Source organism: Homo sapiens, chromosome 7, assembly GCF_000001405.40.
Source record: "Homo sapiens chromosome 7, GRCh38.p14 Primary Assembly".
NCBI lineage: Eukaryota > Metazoa > Chordata > Mammalia > Primates > Hominidae > Homo > Homo sapiens.
Window position 1 is genome coordinate 30,424,280 of NC_000007.14, and position 22,527 is coordinate 30,446,806.

The following is a 22,527-nucleotide window of genomic DNA, read 5'->3' on the forward strand; positions in this document are numbered from 1 at the left end:
GCCACCTGAAGAGATTCAGAGGCCAGATGGAGAGACCTCAGAGGCTGCCACAGCCGCTTCCTGTCCCTTGGTAGGCAGAGAGGCCTGTGAAGGATCAAACTGGTGACACCCCTGGCCTTCATCAGGCTCTCCTCATAGCACATCACCCCAGAGCCCCTTCCCCACTGTGGAGTGAATCAGGATGGGGCTCAGGAGTCAATGAGTGCTTACCAAGCCAAGTCCCTTCAAAAACTCCAGACTCAACCCGTAAGAGTGTTTTCAGTATTTTATTAACAAATGAGCTGGCAAGAGGACAAGTGATCTAGTAGTATCACCCCCACCCTCATGGAGCAGCCACCACAAGCCCACCATGGTGGGGGGTGTCCAACATGCTCTGCTGGCCCAGTTCCCAGCCGATCCCCTGAGTCTTGGCGCCCGTTTAGTCACCCTTCAGCTGCTTGGGAGGCAGGAAGAGACTTCCCCTCTTCACGAGGTAAGGGAGACAAAAGCAGCCATTTGGATGCCAGGGCCACAGGGGCAAGCCATGCCCTATTTCTTTGGAGGGACAGAATCACTTCTTCCCAAGGCCAGACACTGTAGCCCATGGTACTCAGCCTTCTAGAGGAGGGTAGCCTAGCAGAGGAGAAGCCCTGAGTGGAAGCAGCATTTTGAAGGCATCGTCATTCTTAGACCAGCTAAGAGCTGAGGGCATTCTCTATCTTTGCCAGCAGACAGTGAGACTCCAGGATTAAAATTAAAAGCCCGTGGTGCATCCTTTCCTTGACATTAACTTTCCACAAAACCTTGGAGGAGTCAAATCCCACACTGCACATACTCCGGTGTCTCCAGCTGTGAAGTGGGACCAGTATCAATACATGGGAAAGTGCTGAGAAGGAAGAAAATATTTCAGGTATAATACTAATCCATCAAACACGTTTTATTCAAGAAGCTTGGCACCAACTTTGTGCCACATCCTCAACTCTTCAATGAAAAGAGCGGTGACCAACTCGCTCCCGTTGGTCCCTATGGCAGGTGTTGGAATGAGGTGAGGCTGGCCTCCTCTGTTTGCTCACAGCTTTATTCCTCTAGCTTCAGATAAAAATAATTATAATAGGCAATAAAGTCTCTTCACAGTGTATTTACTGTAACTACAACAGCTCGCAAGACACATTCTTTTTCTGCAGAATTGTAGCGGGTACTTAGGGAGTTTGCCGACCAGACCTTCTGCACAGGAAGCTGGCTTGCATCATGGAGGCAGTGGACTCCTGATAGTCCCGCCTGCGCAGGCCCCTTTAAGACACTGACACAAAAGACTGCCCAGAGTGGCATTTGCTGCTGAGGCTCCAGGGCAAAAACCCCATGAACAGGAAAGCATCCTCTCAGAAACAGATAATCCGCTTCTCATCTTCATAGACTTTGGCCTCCTCTGGTTTTATCAGGTTTCCATTTAGGCTGTTGAAAAGGAGGAAGACAAAAGTACACAGGTAAAATGTTAAGGATCCTCGCACACTCCTTCCCAAGGTGTGTTCATAGCACACACTCGTGTATCACACAATACACATGTATCCCTGAAATTAAGGAACATACCCTTTGCAGATAGTTCCTTCATATTAGCATGGATCCTCTCCAGCTGCCATCCCTCTGTTCACTGGGTCTCACTAAGGTCACCTGTAGCCTCCATAAGCCTGAATTTAATGACATTTTCCAGGTCTTGTCTTTCTTGGCCCTCAGGATTTTGGCTGTCCTGACCTCTCCTCTCCCTCCTTCTTGAGGCACTCCCTCCCCTTGGCTTGGTTATATGCGCTGATTTTTCTCCTGCATCTGAGCACTCTACTTCAATTTCCTTTCCTATATTCTCCTCCATGTGACCTCTACATCTGAGATTTCCTCCAGGTTTGGGGCTAAGCCCTTTTCCCCACCCGATCTCATCAATGCCACGGCCTTGTTTGTATGTCCGTGGAGGCAGTTACCTGCTTGGCATCCTCACTTGGACCTCTCCCCCACACCTCAAAGTAGCCACACCTCCTAGGGTCCCCTGGCTTAGTGAATGGACCACTCTCATCCTGCTGAGCAGGTTAGTAACCTGGGGGTCAACCTGGACACCTTCCTTCTCATCCCCATGTTCCTTGTATCACAAAGTTCTCCCCTAATTCCTAAGAATCTAGAATGCCTCCCTGGAACCTCTATGTCTTTGGCCGGCCATCTTGGTCTGAGCACCCATCATCTCTTCCCTGCATCAGTACAATGTCCTACTGACAGGTCATTTCCACGTACTCTGGCCTTCTCCAATTCAGTTTCCTAGAAGAGCCAAGAATTGGTCTTTTTGCATTGCAGATCTGATCACATGCCTCTCCTGCTTCAAACTGTTCACTGACTTTCCATCACTTTTAGGATAAAGACCAAAATGCACATCATGACCCACAGATCTTTTATGGTCCAGTCCCTGCCTATCTCCTCAGCCTCCTGTAGTCCCCTCTTCCACACTGTCTGAACCCTGGGGCACAGCAGCTTCTGGCAGTTCTTCCAGGACACCACACTCCCTCCTGCCCCAGACCCTTTGCACATGCTGTTCCCTACGCAGAATACTCACCTCAGCTGACTAGCTCCTATTCATCCTTCATGGCTTAGTGTAAGTGCTGCTTCCTCAGAGAGGCCTTCCCTGCAACCTCATCTAAATCAGGTTCCCTCTTGGCCTTCCCCTTTGTGATAGTACCCATCACAGTTGTAATTAAATAATTACGCAAATGATTTTTTCTTTAATGTGCTTCTCCCTTTCTAGACAGTGAACCCATGAAGCCATGTTGTTCACCACTGGATTTTTGGTGCTAGCACAGTCCCTGATGCTCAAGCGTTTCGTTATTCAAGGAATAAATGAAGACACAGCACTAGTCCCTAGGACCTTGACTCAGGCCCCACCCTCCCAGAGCCACAGTCTGGAGGAGATAGCCTCACAGAAAGCTGTTATACTGGAGTGGGATACATTTCTGTAATTTACAGTGTTCATTGTTCACCTCTAATTTCTGTTCTTAAAGACAGAACTCATCAAGGGACTTCAGACTTCCAAGTTATTTTCAGAAAGGAATGAGGTAGAAATAAGTGTCAGTACAGTTAACAAGTCCAAGGAGAAGGCTTACTCTGTAAGTGTTGGCTCCAAGCAGAGCTGCTCCCTGAACGTGGCTCCCCGGCCAGCTCAACCACAACCCTGTGGCCTGGTGTGGCAGTCCCTGGCAGGGCCAACAAAGCCACAGCCTTCTCAGAGCCCAGTCCCATGAAGTCACACACAGAGGAGCATGCTCTGGAGGCTCCCAGAACAAGCCAGGGACCTAAGTGAAGACACTCCCAAGACCAGCACCCATGCCGCCTGTCCTGCCCTCTCTGAATTGGTGGCCAGTTCCCCTCTCCACCCTGACACAAGTGCAGGCCTTGAAGCTGAAGTCTCCTGGCCCTACTAAAATGGTTCCTTGTGTAGGAATGGTGACCCTCAAGAGGGAAGCAATGCAGATTTTGAAACTTGACAGAATTAAAGCAACTGTAGGTCTTTACTACCCGCCTGACCAGCTACAGAGAAAAGTGGAAGCCAACTGTGCTCTGCAAACTGTTCTGTAGTCTGGCAGTCTCCTTCCTCTCCCCCTCTGCCTGCTGTCCTCAAAACTTAAGAATCAGCAGAAACGGAGTGGCCTGAGGGCAAACACCCATGCAAACAGTTCCAGTGCCCTCCAGTGCTTCCCAGGCTGCTGGGCAGGCTGGGCTTCGCAGGCACACAGGCCACAGGTGTCTGTTTAGATCTGGGCTCTATTCTCTATGATGGTGTTTTTCTTTTTTTCTTTTTTGTTTTTTGAGACAGGGTCTCTGGCACCCAGGCTGGATTGCAGTGGCATGATCCTGGCTCACTGCAGCCTTGATCTCCCATGCATCCATCCTCCCACATCAGCTTCCTGAGTAGCTGGGACTACAGGCACATAGCACCATGTCGGGCTAATTTTTGTAGTGACGGGGTTTCGCATGTTGCCCAGGCTGGTCTCAAACTCCTGTGCTCAAGAGATCTGCCCATCTTGGCCTCCCAAAGTGCTGGTATTACAGGCATGAGCCACCATGCCTAGCCAACAGTGTTTTTTTTAAAAAAAAACCTTTTGTCTACAACCCTAAATAAGAATTACATTTTATGTTGTGAACCAACACTTATGCAAACACACACCCACTCACATGCAAGCATGAACTAAGATGAATGAAATGATACTTTCATACCATGCACATTGCATCCTGATATTTTGTTCTGTTCTGTTTTCTTTTTAAATATTGTTGGTTGCAATTCACCAAACTGATCGATTTTATGACAAGTTCCAAACAAGTTCTAAAGCAAAGTTTAAAAAACACTGTATGAGGAGCCTGTGTTGGCCAAGGAGCTGTTTTTTGTTTTTTTTTAATTGGCTATGAAATTCTCCCCAGTCATGAAAGGAGGACATAGTTAATAAGGCCCCTCTCCCAGCATCCACCCAGTCCCACGTCACCCAGGCAATTAAGTTGTTAAGGGAGCTGCTGAGTGGGGAGTGTCTGTGCCTTATGGGAGGCAAGAAAGAAGTGGCATGGCGCTCAATGTCACAGTAAAGCAAACTTTTTTTCTTCTATTAGCATAAGGAAGTTCTCAAAGCAGAAAAAAGAAGTAGACAAAGAGCACAGGTCAGTTCAAGTCAGCCTGGAAATGTCTTACGGAACCCAGAAAAGGGGAAGAATGAGCTCCAAACTCCTGGCCAACACAGTCATCTCTCAATTGCTGAGTCCCAGGGGGATTTACTTCCACTAGGAAATCATTTCACTGGCCACTTCCCCCATCCCACCCAATGAAGGTAGATGAGGGCGGGGGCCCAGGGCAGGAGAGCACAGAATATGGAATCAGGCATTCTGGGCTGAATTCTAGCTTCTCTCGTAGTGACCTTGGGCAACCTTATTTCACTGGTCTGGGCCTCTGTCTACCTCTGTAAAACAGAGGTAATACCATTACTGTGCAGGGTTGCTGGAGGAATAAACAGAAACCACCCTGCGTTGTGCCTTGCACAGTCAGTGGTGGTGAGTAAACAGTCACTGGTGTTATTACTGTGACAAACGCTGGGATCTTACCAAATCTCTGTTATGCCAGTGTTGCTCTGTAACGCATCTGCCAGCTGGGCAGTCCCCTTAGCTGTGATCTGATTCTGGATAAGCCTGAAAGAAGAACATAACTTGTATAAAATCCATAATACTGGATCAAATTTGACCCCTTCGTAAGGGAGTTGCAAGGGTGTTTTGGGATAAGAGACAAGTTGGTCAGGGGAAGAACTGAGTCCATGTGACTTTGTATCTGGCTAAAAGTGTCCAGGTAAGATCCACTAGAGTAAAGGATAGCTTGATATTTTTTAAATTTTCTGTTTGTTTTTATAGTGAACATAATGTAATACATGAACTGATGTGTGTGTTTGCATTTTTCACTGCAGAGGTGCATAATCAAAATATTTGGGGCCGGGTGCAGTGGCTCACACCTGTAATCCCAGCACTTTGGGAGGCCGAGGTGGGTGGATCACGAGCTCAGGAGATCGATACCATCCTGGCCAACCTGTCTCTATTAAAAATACAAAAAAATTAGCTGGGCATGGTGGTGTGCACCTGTACTCCCAGCTACTCGGGAGACTGAGGTAGGAGAATTGCTTGAACTGGGAGGTGGAGGTTGCAGTGAGCCAAGATCGTGCCACTGCACTCCAGCCTGGGTGACAGAGTGAGACTCCATTTATATTTTTATATATATTTGGGAGACCACCAATCTGAACAACAAATTGTAAGAAACACACCATGGGACAGGAAGTCTGACGTCTCCTTCCAGGTAGCTAGGGAAAGGCAAGGCAGGTTTTAAAGTTAAGAGGCTACCAACATGCAAGAGGGAGGGAGGAGAAACAGTTATGCTGCCATGAAATAGTTCTCATGAATAGTTCTCATGGGGCTCAGTGGAAAAGCTTTAATAATGGGGACTCTGAGAATGCACCCCATTGTTCTGGGTAGCAGTGATTCAAATGAAACAAAGTTTTCAGCTATCGCTAGGAAGCCAGGCCTCTCCTGAAATGCTCCCTTGGGCAGCTACGCTTCTAACCCAACCAGGAAATAAATGCATCAAGAGGCTGTAGTGTCTCCGCTTCATCACAGAGTCATTCCCTGCTCCTGGCTGTTTGTAGAATAGGCTCCTGCTAAACATGACCCTTAGAAATCCTGGCACTGACCCAAGAAGGAAGCCCTTACCAGGAAGACGAGGGCCCTATGCTGTCATGAATGAAGAGGACTCCCTCGTGAGAGGCAGTATTGCAGAGCGGGTGCAGCTCCTCTTAAACCCTCCCTCCCCACTGTTCAGCTACAGAACCTTGAAGAAATAAACGCATCTGTCTGTGCCTCAGTTGTGTCATCTGTAAACTGAGAATAACTATAAGAGTGCCCCCCATCCACTGGGTGTGTGAGATTTCAAGAGGAGGGTATTAGGCACAGTGTCCAGGGGGAAGGGAGCTCTTGTCACTGTTACTGCCCAAGCACACAGGACCACTGGTGGCTGGGCTGCAGCCAGGATCTGGTGCTCCCAGCCATACCCCACAAGGGCTAGGGCCCCTGGGTTCAATGGCAGAGGTAATGACCTTCCCTTTCAAAAGGGACAAAAATAGAACCAGGAAGTGGGCACCAAGTTCTGTATTCAGTTACACTCTGCTGTTTTCTAGTCACCACTTAGGCTTTTTTGAAGGCAGGGAAGGCAGCCTCCAACCAAGATGTGGCAGGAGGCCAGGAAGGAGAGCACCTAATGCCCCTAAAAAGCCTGCAGTGTCCAGGCACATCCACCCACTCGGGCTGCCTTCACTAGGGCCAGTGCAGGTTGGGAATGCACAAAGCAGCCAAGACTCTCTTTCTGACCCTGTCCTAGCTCTGCTCTCCCTGGAGAGGCTGGCCTGCACTTAGGGAATGGGATCAAATAATTCTGCAGGCTAAAAAGGAAAGAAAAAACAATATGTAGCAGAGTCTAGTCTTTTTGCAGAAATTGACAAGGTGAGTCTGAATTCATAAGAAATGCAAAGAACCCAGAATGGTCTAAACAATCTTGAGAAAGAAGAACAAAGTAGAACTCACACCTCCTGATTTCAAAATGTACTACACAAAGCTACAGCAATGGTCCTGGCATAGGAGAGACATATAAATCAATGGACCAGAACAGAGAATTCAGAAATAAACCCATACATTTATGGTCAATTGATTTTTGACAAGGGTGTCAAGGCCATTCAATAGGAAAAGATAATCTGTTCAACACGTGGTGCTGCCGGGACAGCTGGATATCCACGTGCAAGAGAATGAGGTTAACCCTCACTTTACACTATACAAAAATTAACTCAAAATGGATTGCAGACCTATATGTGAGGGGAAACAACTATAACGCTTAACAGAAAACTTAGGTGGAGTTCTTTGTGATCTTGGATTAGGCAATCATTTCTTAGATAAGACACTGAAAGCACAAGCAACCAAAGAAAAAAATAGATAAATTGGACTTCATCAAAATTAAAAACTATTGGCCAGGTGCAGTGGCTTTTCGCCTGTAATCCCAGCACTTTGGGAGGCTGAGGCAGGTGGATCACCTGAGGTCAGGAGTTCAAGACCAGCCTGGGCCTAAATGGTGAAACCCCATCTCTATTAAAAATACAAAATGAGACAGGCATGGTGGCTGATGCCTGTAATCCCAACTACTCAGGAGGCTGAGGCAGAAGAATCGCTTGAACCCAGGAGGTGGAGGTTGCAGAGAGCTGAGATCATGCCACTGCACTCCTGTCTGGGTGACAAGAGCAAGACTCCATCTCAAAAAAAACAAAAATTAAAAACTGTTGTCCTTTAAAGGTCACTATCAAGAAAGAGGAAAAACTCCACAGAAAGAAAGAAAATACTTGCAAAACCTGTATCTAGTAAAGGTCTAGCACCCAGAATATATAGAGAACCCCTATAACTCAGCATTAGAAGACAAACCCAATTTTAAAATGGGCAAAGGATATGGAGACATTTCTCCAAAGAAGCTATACAGACTCCCAGTAGGCACATAAAAAGACATTCAACATTGTTGTCATCAGGGAAATGCAAATCAAAACCACAATATTACTTCACATCCACTAGTATAACTAGATTTTAAAAGATGGACAATAATAAGTGTTGGTGAGGATGTGGAGAAATTGGAATCCACATACATTGCTGGCGAGAATGTAAAATAGTACATCCACTTTAGAAAACAGTTTGGTGGCTCCTCAAAAAGTTACAGAATTGCCATATGACCCAGAAATTCTATTCCCAGGTATATTCCCAAAAGAGATGAAAACATATGTTCACCCAAAAGCATGAACAGGAGTGTTCACAGTAGCATTACGCATAATAGTCAAAAAGTAGAAACAACCCAAATGTCCCATCAACTGATTAATAAACTGCAAAATTTCCTTAGAGTGAATTATCATTTAGCCATAAAAAGGAATGAAACATGCTAGAACACAGAGACAAAAGGTCACATATTGCTTGATTCCATTTATATGAAATGCCCAGAGTAGGCAAATCCATAGAGACAGAAAGCGGATTAGTGGTTGCCAGGGTCTGGGGAGGAGGACAGGGAGTGACTGCTTAATGGATACCAGGGCTTTTTGGAGTGGGGAGGAGGAGTGAAAATGTTCTAGAATTAGGTGGTGATGGTTGCACTAAAAACCTCTGAATTGTATACTTTAAGAGAGTGAATTTTACAGTATGTAAATTTTATCTCAAAAAATACTTTTGAAAAGTAGCACAGTCTGAAATTGTAAGGCTCTCTGAGTTACCATAAATGCTTTAACGTCTGGTTGACTTTCAACATTTCTGCCAAACTCTCTGCCACTTCATCGTTGAGTTCATTTTGGGTCAGCCTAAGGAAAAAAAAGGAAGTATTTACTCAAGAGAGCCTACTTGGCAGACATTGTTTTAGAGTTCACAGGAGCGGGAGCTCAGCCCAAGGCTCTCCAGCTATGCAGATGATCACTTGCTGAGAACCCAGAAAACAGCCAGGCTCCAAGCCCAGCCTGTCAGCCCCACAGAAGGTCAATGGGACTCATTTTTAATGCAAATCCTGTACCTGGGCTCCTATTTCTTAGCCCAGCTACCTGTAGAGGAGCCCACCCTCCCTCCCCACCTTTGCTGAGCCCTCAGATTTCATGGAAGATGGGGGCCCACGGAAAACAAAGGGCCAATGCCTGCTTCTCAGTTCTCCTCTAGTCCCAGGGTCCCTTGAACACCACTGACAGTGTGTTATCCAAGTTAGTTTGAAGACCTGAAACAGTCACTGACTGCACATTAAAATGTGTTCAGTACTTTGCTCTCAGTTAACTTGTGAGGGACCCAAGTTAAGTGACTGAAAGTTCAGGAAGTCTCTCAATGGTCCTTAGAACCAGAAGTGGTCTGGATAAAGCACCAAAGCTCCTTGGTGTAAACAGGGTAGGACCCACTTGTGCCAGTGGACGAAAGAATCATTAGGAAGAAGAATAGAACAGAAAGAACATTTAAAAAAAAAAATTCCTTGAAGGGCAGTTTGGATGTGCCTGCCCAAATTTTTAATGTGCTTCATTTTAAGACAATCAGACTTCTAGAAATTTACCCTACAGTGTGCAAGGATATACACACAAAGCTTTATACATTGCAGCATGCATTGTGGTATTATCCTAATGTAAAATCTGAACAAATTTAGATCAGAAACAACTGATGAAATATATTGTGATATCTATTCGAGATGTTGTGCAGCTTGTAGGGAGAATGAGGTAGAATGAGGAGGGAGAAGAACACAGCATTGACATCTACTCCGGACTCAGCCTGGGCAGGTTTGTATCACCCACCAGCAGGGTGACCTCGGGCAACAGGCTTAAGTTCTTTGGGTCTGAGTTTTCTCACTGGTGAACGTTAACAGTAGAGATCGTATAGAGTGGTTGTGAGGCTGAGTGAGTTAACACAGGGAAAAAGTGTAGAATAACACATGGCATGCAGTCAGCACTTGAGGGCTTCTAGGTGTTGACATTACTACTATCCATGTGATTTCACTCTCCATGGGGCACCTGGCCATGTCCGGAGGCATTTTTGATCCTCACCACTGGGAGGTACAGGGCAGAGATGCGGCTAAACCGTCTATGATGCACAGGACAGCCCTACCATAATAAAGAATCACTTGGACCAAAATGTCAACAGCATCAAGATGGAGAAACCCTAAAGGAGACATGTAAAGTATGTGATTACAATATTTTTAGAGCCACTGCTTGAATGCTATTCTGTTTTGCATATCTTTGAACATACATAGAACAAAAGGCTAGAAAGGAAAGGTTATTTTGGAAAACACAAAGGGAGGTACTTTCACTTCCTCCTTTTAGCAGGAACTTTAGGAGGTACTTTCATGTCCTCCTTTAGTGTCTTACATTTTTTCCAAAAAACATAAACTACTTTTCAAAATGTTAAATGATTTGTTGAGGGGAAAGAATTTAAAATGCACTTACTGGACAGCAGGCCTAATGTCAAAACTCTCTCATGAAGAGGATATTGTCATTATTCTCAGTAACTAATTTAGCAAGATCAAATGAGCACTGGGCTCTGAGTAGATGATAGGGAGGGTTGTAATACAACTCCCTCACTTAACCTGTAAGGAATGTTTTTTTTTTTTGTAGATAGAGGGTCTCGCTATATTGCCCAGGCTAGTCTCGAACTCTTGGCCTCAAGCGATCCTCCCACCTCAGCCTTCCAAAGTACTGGGATTACAGATGTGAGTCACTGCTCCCAGCCACCTGTATGGAATTTATGATACAGAGATGTAAATACAAATAAAGCAAAATAAAACATTAAGTGGCCATAAAAAAGGGAACACCAACAAAAAACACTCTCAGGAGGCCACATCCACTTAGTAAGTGCCCTAGAGTGCAGAGAGGGAGCGAGGACTGTGGGCTTCAGGTGACAAGTGACAGATGAGCTGGATGGAGCATAAAGGCCAAACCCTGATGTGAAGACCTGGGGAAGGAGGAGGCTGCCTGGGGGAAGGCAGATGAAGAGGAGGAAGGGAGAAAATTTTGAGCCAAGTGTGTGGAAGTTGGCCTCTGCTAAGCACATCTGAAGGTATCCAAGGATACCTGGATAGCTTGCATGGCCAGCGTTCTAGTTCTCCTGGGGCCTAGAAGGCCAAGGCCTCAGATCCAGGCTCCCGGAGCCCACTTCCTCCTCCTGTACCTGTTTATGCTTGTAGAAGTGGCTATTCTCTTCTCTAGGAGGAAATTATCAACTTAACTGAAAGGCCTAGAGCCTTTCCAATTGGGAGACACCTTTTCTGTTAAGATTCCAGGCCATGTGCAGCCCCTGGGATAATTCCTGGGACCTAAACCCTCCAAAATGACTCTGTGCCAGGTGCAGTGGCTCACACCTGCAATCCCAGGGCTTTGAGAAGCCAGGGCAGGAGAACTGCTTGAGCCCAGGAGTTCAAGACCAGCCTGGGTAACATAGCAAAACCCCATCTCTACAAAAAATTTTAAAATTAACTGGGTGTGGTGGTGCATGCCTATAGTCTCAGGACTCGGAAGGCCAAGGCGGGAGGTTCGAATGAGCCTGGGAGGTGGAGGCTGCAGTGAGCTGAGATCACACCAATGCACTCAAGCCTGGACGACAAAGCAAGACCCTATCACAGAAAAACAAACAAACAAATGAAATGACTCGAGCTATTACCACAGTATTTCTAGAGACGTGTTCTGCTGCAGGGCCCTCGCAAGGCTCTTTCCTCCTTCTGTGGAGATGCCGTTGGACGCAAGACTAGGAAGGAACACACTTGGGGTGAATTATTAAAGACACATCTACATTCAATCTTAGCTTCAACATCAGAACAGCTGGGAAGCCTCTGCCTGGCTGTGGCCCCAGCCCAGGCTCACTCGGGGCAGGATGCAGAAGTGTTCAGCTGCAGCAGTAGTGCCCAGGCGCTGCTGCCCCAGAGCCCACACACAGAGCACAAGGGCAGGCTGGACGGGAAATGGGTCATCAGCACAGCCTGCTCACACAACAGTGGGCTGGGGTCGGCACCTCAGGTTTCTGCACATGGGCAGGAGGCTGGCGAGGCCTGGCAAGCTGTCCTTCTAAAGGCTGGCCCCATCAAGGTACCCCATCTGCAAGACCTGGCAAAGTCTCTTCTGCTACTGTCCCCACCTTCTTGGACTCTTTTTCAGTGGTAGGAAGAACAGCAGCAGAGCCGTGGACATACCAAGGTCCCAAGATTTGGCCAGCAGCCTAAGCGGGGGCTGGGTAGGTGCATCCCCATTTATAGAGAGGAAGAGTCCCTCTTTTCCAGCATCATCCTGAGGACAAGGAAGGGGCAGGAATCTGCTGGCCAGCATCTTATTAAGTTTCATCTGCACTTAGGAAACCCTCCCTCTACCAGCAAGGGACATGCAGGGATGGCTGAGGGGCTGGAAATGTCCTCTGTCTTGATGGGGGTGGTGGTTGGCTGGTGTGGGACACATGCAGAATTCACTGAGCTGAATAAACACTTAAGGTGATTCCTCAGGGATCTAGAACCAGAAATACCATTTGACCCAGCAATCCCATTACTGGGTATTTACCCAAAGGATTATAAATCATTCTGCTATAAAGACACAAGCACATGTATGTTTATTGTAGCACTATTTACAATAGCAAAGACTTGGAACCAACCCAAATGCCCATCAGTGATAGACTGGATAAAGAAAATGTGGCACATACACACTATGGAATACTATGCAACCATAAAAAAAAATGAGATCATGTCCTTTGCTGGCACATGGATGAAGCTGGAAACCATCATTCTCAGCAAACTAACACAGGAACAAAAAACCAAACACTGCATGTTCTCACTCGTAAGTGGGAGTTGAACAATGAGAACACATGGACACATGGAGGGGAACAACACACACCAGGGCCTGTTGGGGGTGGGGGGCAAGGGGAGGGCAAGCATTAGGACAAATACCTAATGCATGCAGGGCTTAAAACCTAGATGACAGGTTGATAGGTGCAGCAAATCACCATGGCATGCATTTGCCTATGTAACAAACCTGCACATCTTCTACATGTATCCCAGAACTTAAAGTTAAAAAAAGAGAAGAATGTGCTTTACTAGATGGCCTCTTATGCATCAAAGAAAGGTTTGACAAGAGTAAGGAAAATCACACATGCAAATTCCTCTTCTATTAGGAGCACGAATCACCCTTCCCCAGCAAACCTAGAGCAGCTGGGAGGGACCAGGTTGGCCCCTGGAGACAGCAGGGCCACAGTTACCTCAGGGTGGTCAAGCTGGGGTGGTTCCGCAGAGCCTCTGCGAAGGCTTTTGCTCCTTCATCCCCAACTTGATTGCCCCACATCCTGAGGGAGGAGACAAGATAGTGAATGTTAGCTCCCCAAGAAACAGCCATGCTCACCCCTCCTTTTTTGCCAATGGCCACAGCTCAGTTCCTACTCAACAGGCAGATGTTTGTGCCCAGTCCCTGGATCTGTGGCCTGGACACTAATTCCTCACACTGGTCTCTGAGTGGGCTGCTCTGGATTTCAAATTCAAGGGGTGATGCAAGATCGAAGAGCAGGGGAAGCCTTGTGAACAGAGGCCATCGGCAAGTGGCACAGTTAGAGACCGAGCCTCACCACGAGCTTCGGAGAGCTGTCAGCCCAGGAGCCTGAGCTCATGAGAGAAAGCACCTGCATGTCTCCTGTGGAGCACAGAGGTGCGCAGAGTCCTGGAGGGAAGGCCGTGTGCAGGTGCTGGGTTCCCAGCATCCGTTCAACTCTGGGCAGGGTCAGAGACATTCCTGAAGACACAGTCTTCCAGGAGACAAAGAGCAGGAAGTACCTTCAGAAACCCCATCAGCAACGTTCCTGTCACATAAAGAGGACGTTACCCAACCAAGCTCTGTGGCTACGGCCATCTTGGTGGACAGGTGCGGCGATAAAGCTGTATTCTGTCCCCTACAGCAGATCCGGAGAGTCTCTGGCTAAAACAGTCTGCGTGGTAAGATGGTGGACTCCTGACCCGGCTCTGCCATCTGCTACCTGTGTGAACTTCGGGAAATTATGTAGTCTCTTGGACCTCAGTTGCCCCATCTATAAAATGGGGATAATTAGAGCATTCCGTCATGGAGTTGTGAGGATTCACTGAGTTAACAGAAGCAAAGCACTTAGAACCGTGTGTGGCTCACACAAAGCGTTGGCTGTTCCTAATAGGATCAGCACACACTGTCTACACACAACAGAACAAGTTCGTGTGGCCCACTCACAACACAATGGCAGCTGCCTCAACAACACGTTCACACCAAGCAAACTACCTGCTTACACCATTCCAGGTATGGCTTGCTGGAACCCAGAATAAGAGTTTTCAGTGTTTTGCTTACATATATGTATTTACTATACAATTGAATGGCATCACATTTTTAATAAAGTGGAAAGCTACTCAAGGCATGAGATTAAGTGAAAAAGGAAGGATACATATAGTCTCACCCCTACTATAGTATAGATACATATAGTCTCACCCCTACTATATTTTTTAAAAGTTGTACAAAGAGAGAGAAGGGAGAGAAAGTGAGAGAGCTTAACTGAGCTTAAATGTTAACAAGAATCATTTTCTGAGAAGATAATTTTTATTATTTTTCATAGTTTCCAAATAAAATTACCTGTGTTCCTTTTGTAATCCAATAAAAATTATAATGAAACAAAAAGCTTTAAAAAGCCTCAAGAATCAAAACCACAATGAGACAGGACCTCACACTCATTAGGATGGGTACTGTCAAAAAGAGAAAATAGCAAGTGTTGGCAAGGATGTGGAGAAACTAGAATGAACTGTTGGTGGGAACATAAAATGGTGCTGCTGCCGTGGAAAACAGTATGATGATTCTTCAAAAAATTAAAAATTACCATGTGATCCAGCAATCCCACTGCTGGATATATACCCAAAAGAATTGGAGGGAGGAGCCAAGATGGCCGAATAGGAACAGCTCCGGTCTACAGCTCCCAGCGTGAGCGACGCAGAAGACGGGTGATTTCTGCATTTCCATCTGAGGTACCGGGTTCATCTCACTAGGGAGCGCCAGACAGTGGGCGCAGGCCAGTGTGTGCGCGCACCGTGCGCGAGCCGAAGCAGGGCGAGGCATTGCCTCACCTGGGAAGCGCAAGGGATCAGGGAGTTCCCTTTCCGAGTCAAAGAAAGGGGTGACGGACGCACCTGGAAAATCGGGTCACTCCCACCCGAATATTGCGCTTTTCAGACCGGCTTAAGAAACGGCGCACCACGAGACTATATCCCACACCTGGCTCAGAGGGTCCTACGCCCACGGAATCTCGCTGATTGCTAGCACAGCAGTCTGAGATCAAACTGCAAGGCGGCAACGAGGCTGGGGGAGGGGCGCCCGCCATAGCCCAGGCTTGCTTAGGTAAACAAAGCAGCCGGGAAGCTCGAACTGGGTGGAGCCCACCACAGCTCAAGGAGGCCTGCCTGCCTCTGTAGGCTCCACCTCTGGGGGCAGGGCACAGACAAACAAAAAGACAGCAGTAACCTCTGCAGACTTAAGTGTCCCTGTCTGACAGCTTTGAAGAGAGCAGTGGTTCTCCCAGCACGCAGCTGGAGATCTGAGAACGGGCAGACTGCCTCCTCAAGTGGGTCCCTGACCCCTGACCCCCGAGCAGCCTAACTGGGAGGCACCCCCCAGCAGAGGCACACTGACACCTCACACGGCAGGGTATTCCAACAGACCTGCAGCTGAGGGTCCTGTCTGTTAGAAGGAAAACTAACAACCAGAAAGGACATCTACACTGAAAACCCATCTGTACATCACCATCATCAAAGACCAAAAGTAGATAAAACCACAAAGATGGGGAAAAAACAGAACAGAAAAACTGGAAACTCTAAAACGCAGAGCGCCTCTCCTCCTCCAAAGGAACGCAGTTCCTCACCAGCAACAGAACAAAGCTGGATGGAGAATGATTTTGACGAGCTGAGAGAAGAAGGCTTCAGACGATCAAATTACTCTGAGCTACGGGAGGACATTCAAACCAAAGGCAAAGAAGTTGAAAACTTTGAAAAAAATTTAGAAGAATGTATAACTAGAATAACCAATACAGAGAAGTGCTTAAAGGAGCTGATGGAGCTGAAAACCAAGGCTCGAGAACTACGTGAAGAATGCAGAAGCCTCAGGAGCCGATGCGATCAACTGGAAGAAAGGGTATCAGCAATGGAAGATGAAATGAATGAAATGAAGCGAGAAGGGAAGTTTAGAGAAAAAAGAATAAAAAGAAATGAGCAAAGCCTCCAAGAAATATGGGACTATGTGAAAAGACCAAATCTACGTCTGATTGGTGTACCTGAAAGTGATGTGGAGAATGGAACCAAGTTGGAAAACACTCTGCAGGATATTATCCAGGAGAACTTCCCCAATCTAGCAAGGCAGGCCAACGTTCAGATTCAGGAAATACAGAGAACGCCACAAAGATACTCCTCGAGAAGAGCAACTCCAAGACACATAATTGTCAGATTCACCAAAGTTGAAATGAAGGAAAAAATGTTAAGGGCAGCCAGAGAGAAAGTTCGGGTTACCCTCAAAGGAAAGCCCATCAGACTAACAGCGGATCTCTCGGCAGAAACCCTACAAGCCAGAAGAGAGTGGGGGCCAATATTCAACATTCTTAAAGAAAAGAATTTTCAACCCAGAATTTCATATCCAGCCAAACTAAGCTTCATAAGTGAAGGAGAAATAAAATACTTTATAGACAAGCAAATGCTGAGAGATTTTGTCACCACCAGGCCTGCCCTAAAAGAGCTCCTGAAGGAAGCGGTAAACATGGAAAGGAACAACCGGTACCAGCCGCTGCAAAATCATGCCAAAATGTAAAGACCATCGAGACTAGGAAGAAACTGCATCAACTAATGAGCAAAATCGCCAGCTAACATCATAATGACAGGATCAAATTCACACATAACAATATTAACTTTAAATATAAATGGACTAAATTCTGCAATTAAAAGACACAGACTGGCAAGTTGGATAAAGAGTCAAGACCCATCAGTGTGCTGTATTCAGGAAACCCATCTCACGTGCAGAGACACACATAGGCTCAAAATAAAAGGATGGAGGAAGATCTACCAAGCCAATGGAAAACAAAAAAAGGCAGGGGTTGCAATCCTAGTCTCTGATAAAACAGACTTTAAACCAACAAAGATCAAAAGAGACAAAGAAGGCCATTACATAATGGTAAAGGGATCAATTCAACAAGAGGAGCTAACTATCCTAAATATTTATGCACCCAATACAGGAGCACCCAGATTCATAAAGCAAGTCCTCAGTGACCTACAAAGAGACTTAGACTCCCACACATTAATAATGGGAGACTTTAACACCCCACTGTCAACATTAGACAGATCAATGAGACAGAAAGTCAACAAGGATACCCAGGAATTGAACTCAGCTCTGCACCAAGCAGACCTAATAGACATCTACAGAACTCTCCACCCCAAATCAACAGAATATACATTTTTTTCAGCACCACACCACACCTATTCCAAAATTGACCACATAGTTGGAAGTAAAGCTCTCCTCAGCAAATGTAAAAGAACAGAAATTATAACAAACTATCTCTCAGACCACAGTGCAATCAAACTAGAACTCAGGATTAAGAATCTCACTCAAAGCCGCTCAACTACATGGAAACTGAACAACCTGCTCCTGAATGACTACTGGGTACATAACGAAATGAAGGCAGAAATAAAGATGTTCTTTGAAACCAACGAGAACAAAGACACCACATACCAGAATCTCTGGGACGCATTCAAAGCAGTGTGTAGAGGGAAATTTATAGCACTAAATGCCTACAAGAGAAAGCAGGAAAGATCCAAAATTGACACCCTAACATCACAATTAAAAGAACTAGAAAAGCAAGAGCAAACACATTCAAAAGCTAGCAGAAGGCAAGAAATAACTAAAATCAGAGCAGAACTGAAGGAAATAGAGACACAAAAAACCCTTCAAAAAATCAATGAATCCAGGAGCTGGTTTTTCGAAAGGATCAACAAAATTGATAGACCGCTAGCAAGACTAATAAAGAAAAAAAGAGAGAAGAATCAAATAGACACAATAAAAAATGATAAAGGGGATATCACCACCGATCCCACAGAAATACAAACTACCATCAGAGAATACTACAAACACCTCTACGCAAATAAACTAGAAAATCTAGAAGAAATGGATACATTCCTCGACACATACACTCTCCCAAGACTAAACCAGGAAGAAGTTGAATCTCTGAATAGACCAATAACAGGCTCTGAAATTGTGGCAATAATCAATAGTTTACCAACCAAAAAGAGTCCAGGACCAGATGGATTCACAGCCGAATTCTACCAGAGGTACAAGGAGGAACTGGTACCATTCCTTCTGAAACTATTCCAATCAATAGAAAAAGAGGGAATCCTCCCTAACTCATTTTATGAGGCCAGCATCATTCTGATACCAAAGCCGGGCAGAGACACAACCAAAAAAGAGAATTTTAGACCAATATCCTTGATGAACATTGATGCAAAAATCCTCAATAAAATACTGGCAAACCGAATCCAGCAGCACATCAAAAAGCTTATCCACCATGATCAAGTGGGCTTCATCCCTGGGATGCAAGGCTGGTTCAATATACGCAAATCAATAAATGTAATCCAGCATATAAACAGAGCCAAAGACAAAAACCACATGATTATCTCAATAGATGCAGAAAAAGCCTTTGACAAAATTCAACAACCCTTCATGCTAAAAACTCTCAATAAATTAGGTATTGATGGGACGTATTTCAAAATAATAAGAGCTATCTATGACAAACCCACAGCCAATATCATACTGAATGGGCAAAAACTGGAAGCATTCCCTTTGAAAACTGGCACAAGACAGGGATGCCCTCTCTCACCGCTCCTATTCAACATAGTGTTGGAAGTTCTGGCCAGGGCAATCAGGCAGGAGAAGGAAATAAAGGGTATTCAATTAGGAAAAGAGGAAGTCAAATTGTCCCTGTTTGCAGACGACATGATTGTTTATCTAGAAAACCCCATCGTCTCAGCCCAAAATCTCCTTAAGCTGATAAGCAACTTCAGCAAAGTCTCAGGATACAAAATCAATGTACAAAAATCACAAGCATTCTTATACACCAACAACAGACAAACAGAGAGCCAAATCATGGGTGAACTCCCATTCACAATTGCTTCAAAGAGAATAAAATACCTAGGAATCCAACTTACAAGGGATGTGAAGGACCTCTTCAAGGAGAACTACAAACCACTGCTCAAGGAAATAAAAGAGGACACAAACAAATGGAAGAACATTCCATGCTCATGGGTAGGAAGAATCAATATCGTGAAAATGGCCATACTGCCCAAGGTAATTTACAGATTCAATGCCATCCCCATCAAGCTACCAATGACTTTCTTCACAGAATTGGAAAAAACTACTTTAAAGTTCATATGGAACCAAAAAAGAGCCCGCATCGCCAAGTCAATCCTAAGCCAAAAGAACAAAGCTGGAGGCATCACACTACCTGACTTCAAACTATACTACAAGGCTACAGTAACCAAAACAGCATGGTACTGGTACCAAAACAGAGATATAGATCAATGGAACAGAACAGAGCCCTCAGAAATAATGCCGCATATCTACAACTATCTGATCTTTGACAAACCTGAGAAAAACAAGCAATGGGGAAAGGATTCCCTATTTAATAAATGGTGCTGGGAAAACTGGCTAGCCATATGTAGAAAGCTGAAACTGGATCCCTTCCTTACACCTTATACAAAAATCAATTCAAGATGGATTAAAGATTTAAACGTTAAACCTAAAACCATAAAAACCCTAGAAGAAAACCTAGGCATTACCATTCAGGACATAGGCGTGGGCAAGGACTTCATGTCCAAAACACCAAAAGCAATGGCAACAAAAGACAAAATTGACAAATGGGATCTAATTAAACTAAAGAGCTTCTGCACAGCAAAAGAAACTACCATCAGAGTGAACAGGCAACCTACAACATGGGAGAAAATTTTCGCAACCTACTCATCTGACAAAGGGCTAATATCCAGAATCTACAATGAACTCAAACAAATTTACAAGAAAAAAACAAACAACCCCATCAAAAAGTGGGCGAAGGACATGAACAGACACTTCTCAAAAGAAGACATTTATGCAGCCAAAAAACACATGAAGAAATGCTCATCATCACTGGCCATCAGAGAAATGCAAATCAAAACCACTATGAGATATCATCTCACACCAGTTAGAATGGCAATCATTAAAAAGTCAGGAAACAGCAGGTGCTGGAGAGGATGCGGAGAAATAGGAACACTTTTACACTGTTGGTGGGACTGTAAACTAGTTCAACCATTGTGGAAGTCAGTGTGGCGATTCCTCAGGGATCTAGAACTAGAAATACCATTTGACCCAGCCATCCCATTACTGGGTATATACCCAAATGAGTATAAATCATGCTGCTATAAAGACACATGCACACGTATGTTTATTGTGGCACTATTCACAATAGCAAAGACTTGGAACCAACCCAAATGTCCAACAATGATAGACTGGATTAAGAAAATGTGGCACATATACACCATGGAATACTATGCAGCCATAAAAAATGATGAGTTCATATCCTTTGTAGGGACATGGATGAAATTGGAAACCATCATTCTCAGTAAACTATCGCAAGAACAAAAAACCAAACACCGCATATTCTCACTCATAGGTGGGAATTGAACAATGAGATCACATGGACACAGGAAGGGGAATATCACACTCTGGGGACTGTGGTGGGGTCGGGGGAGGGGGGAGGGATAGCATTGGGAGATATACCTAATGCTAGATGACACATTAGTGGGTGCAGCGCACCAGCATGGCACATGTATACATATGTAACTAACCTGCACAATGTGCACATGTACCCTAAAACTTAGAGTATAATAAAAAAAAAAAGAATCTAAAAAAAAAAAAAAAAAAAAAAAAGAATTGAAGGCAGTCCTTGAAGAGACATTTGTATGCCCATGTGCACAGCAGCATTATTCACAACAGCCAAAGCATAGAAGCAAGCCAGTGTCTGTTCTTGGATGAATGAGTAAACAAAATGTGGCATAGCCATGCAATGGAGTATTACTCAGCCTTAAAAAAGAAGGAAATCCTGGCGGGGCACGGTGGCTCACGCCTATAATCCTGACACTTTGGGAGACCGAGGTGGGTGGATCATTTGAGGTCAGGAGTTTGAGACCAGCCTGGCCAACATGGTGAAACCCCGCCTCTACTAAAAATACAAAAATTAGCTGGGATTGGTGGCGGGTGCCTATAATCCCAGCTACTCGTGTGGCTGAGGCGAGAGAATCGCTTGAACCCAGAAGGCAGAGGTTGCAGTGAGCCGAGATCATGCCACTGCACTCCAGCCTGGGCAACAGAGCGAGACTCTGTCAAAAAAAAAAAAAAAAAAAAAAAAAAAGGAAATCCTGTCCCATGCTTCCATGTGGACGAATCTTGAGGACATGATGCTAGTGAAATCAGCCATCCCCAAAAGGCAAATACTGTATGATTCCACTTACATGAGGTAGAGTAGTCAAAACCATAGAGAGAGTAAGTAGCAGGGTGGCTGCAAGAGGCAGGGGGGAGGGGGACCGGGGAGTTATTGCTTAATGGGCACGGTTTCAGTTTCGCAGCATGGTGAAAGCTCTCCACTATCTCTCCCCGACAGCGAGCCCCAGTGGTCCTTCTGGTGTACTGATGTATGAAAAGAACAGCAAGGCCCGCCCCCCACACACACAGCAGGTTGTACCACATACATCCATCCCCTTCTACTCACCCAACCTCAGAGATTGATTTGCTGTTCTTCACAGCCAGGGCGAGATACTTCCCTCCTTCACTTGTTATTTTGTTTTTTCCCAGTCTGCAGAGAGAGTCACACACAGTCAGCCTCCAGCTATGCAGGGGCTCCAATGTGGGTCACCCTCCTCCCCAGCACAGAGCCCCTTCCAGCCCCATCTTGGGAACCGTACACTTTCTTCTGGGATCCACAAGAGCCATGGCCTGGGCCTCCTGTCAGGGAGGGAACTGAAGCCCTGAGGACAGTCAGTCAGGGTTCCTCTCCAGGAGATGGTCCACAGTCTCTGCAGAAGCTCAGGGACCTGAGCCCTCCCTGGGGTCCTCTAATTGACCTCAGCAGCATCACTGACTTCCCTCGGGAGACCTGGGAGGTCCCACTTTGACTGCCAAGGGTCAAGGTATGTGGCCACTGTCAGGGCAGGACCAGAGGCTCCAAGCCTGGCGCACTGTCACCCCCTGCGCAGGGCACACCTACAGCAGGGCAAGGGCCCAAGCTCTTCCTTGCAACCCGACAGGAAACTCCCTTGGGGCAAAAAGACCACCAGAAAGGGTGAGAGTTAGTCCTTTCTTCGGCCTAGTAGTTAATGAAATCAAAATGCCAACCTTTCCCCCTACCAATAACGGGAGGCCCTTCCAGAATCCAAGC

General features: G+C 45.7%; 1 protein-coding gene across 31 annotated transcripts in view, besides 2 other annotated features; it reads right to left on the reverse strand.

Annotated features, from left to right (window-relative positions):
* NOD1 (nucleotide binding oligomerization domain containing 1) overlaps positions 248 to 22,527 on the reverse strand; it is a 54,258-nt gene continuing 31,978 nt past the window's right edge. For 11 of the 31 annotated variants that reach the window (XM_005249572.1, XM_047419753.1, NM_006092.4 and 8 more), the window contains 6 exons: positions 21,862 to 21,945; positions 13,294 to 13,377; positions 11,719 to 11,802; positions 8,817 to 8,900; positions 5,095 to 5,178; positions 248 to 1,431 (listed from right to left, as the gene is read on the reverse strand). In XM_005249572.1, coding sequence (XP_005249629.1) covers positions 1,359 to 1,431; positions 5,095 to 5,178; positions 8,817 to 8,900; positions 11,719 to 11,802; positions 13,294 to 13,377; positions 21,862 to 21,945 — 493 coding nt within the window. In that variant the 3' untranslated portion in view covers positions 248 to 1,358. The other 20 variants (XM_047419760.1, XM_047419763.1, NM_001354849.2 and 17 more) reach the window with 4 other exon arrangements.
* Positions 10,004 to 10,143: an enhancer, noted in NCBI's record as "active region_25812". NCBI's record gives its function as "activates an Ori minimal core promoter by ATAC-STARR-seq in GM12878 lymphoblastoid cells {active_cell/tissue: GM12878}" and the evidence as "EXISTENCE:reporter gene assay evidence [ECO:0000049][PMID:35858748]".
* Positions 21,560 to 21,719: a silencer, noted in NCBI's record as "silent region_18066". NCBI's record gives its function as "represses an Ori minimal core promoter by ATAC-STARR-seq in GM12878 lymphoblastoid cells {active_cell/tissue: GM12878}" and the evidence as "EXISTENCE:reporter gene assay evidence [ECO:0000049][PMID:35858748]".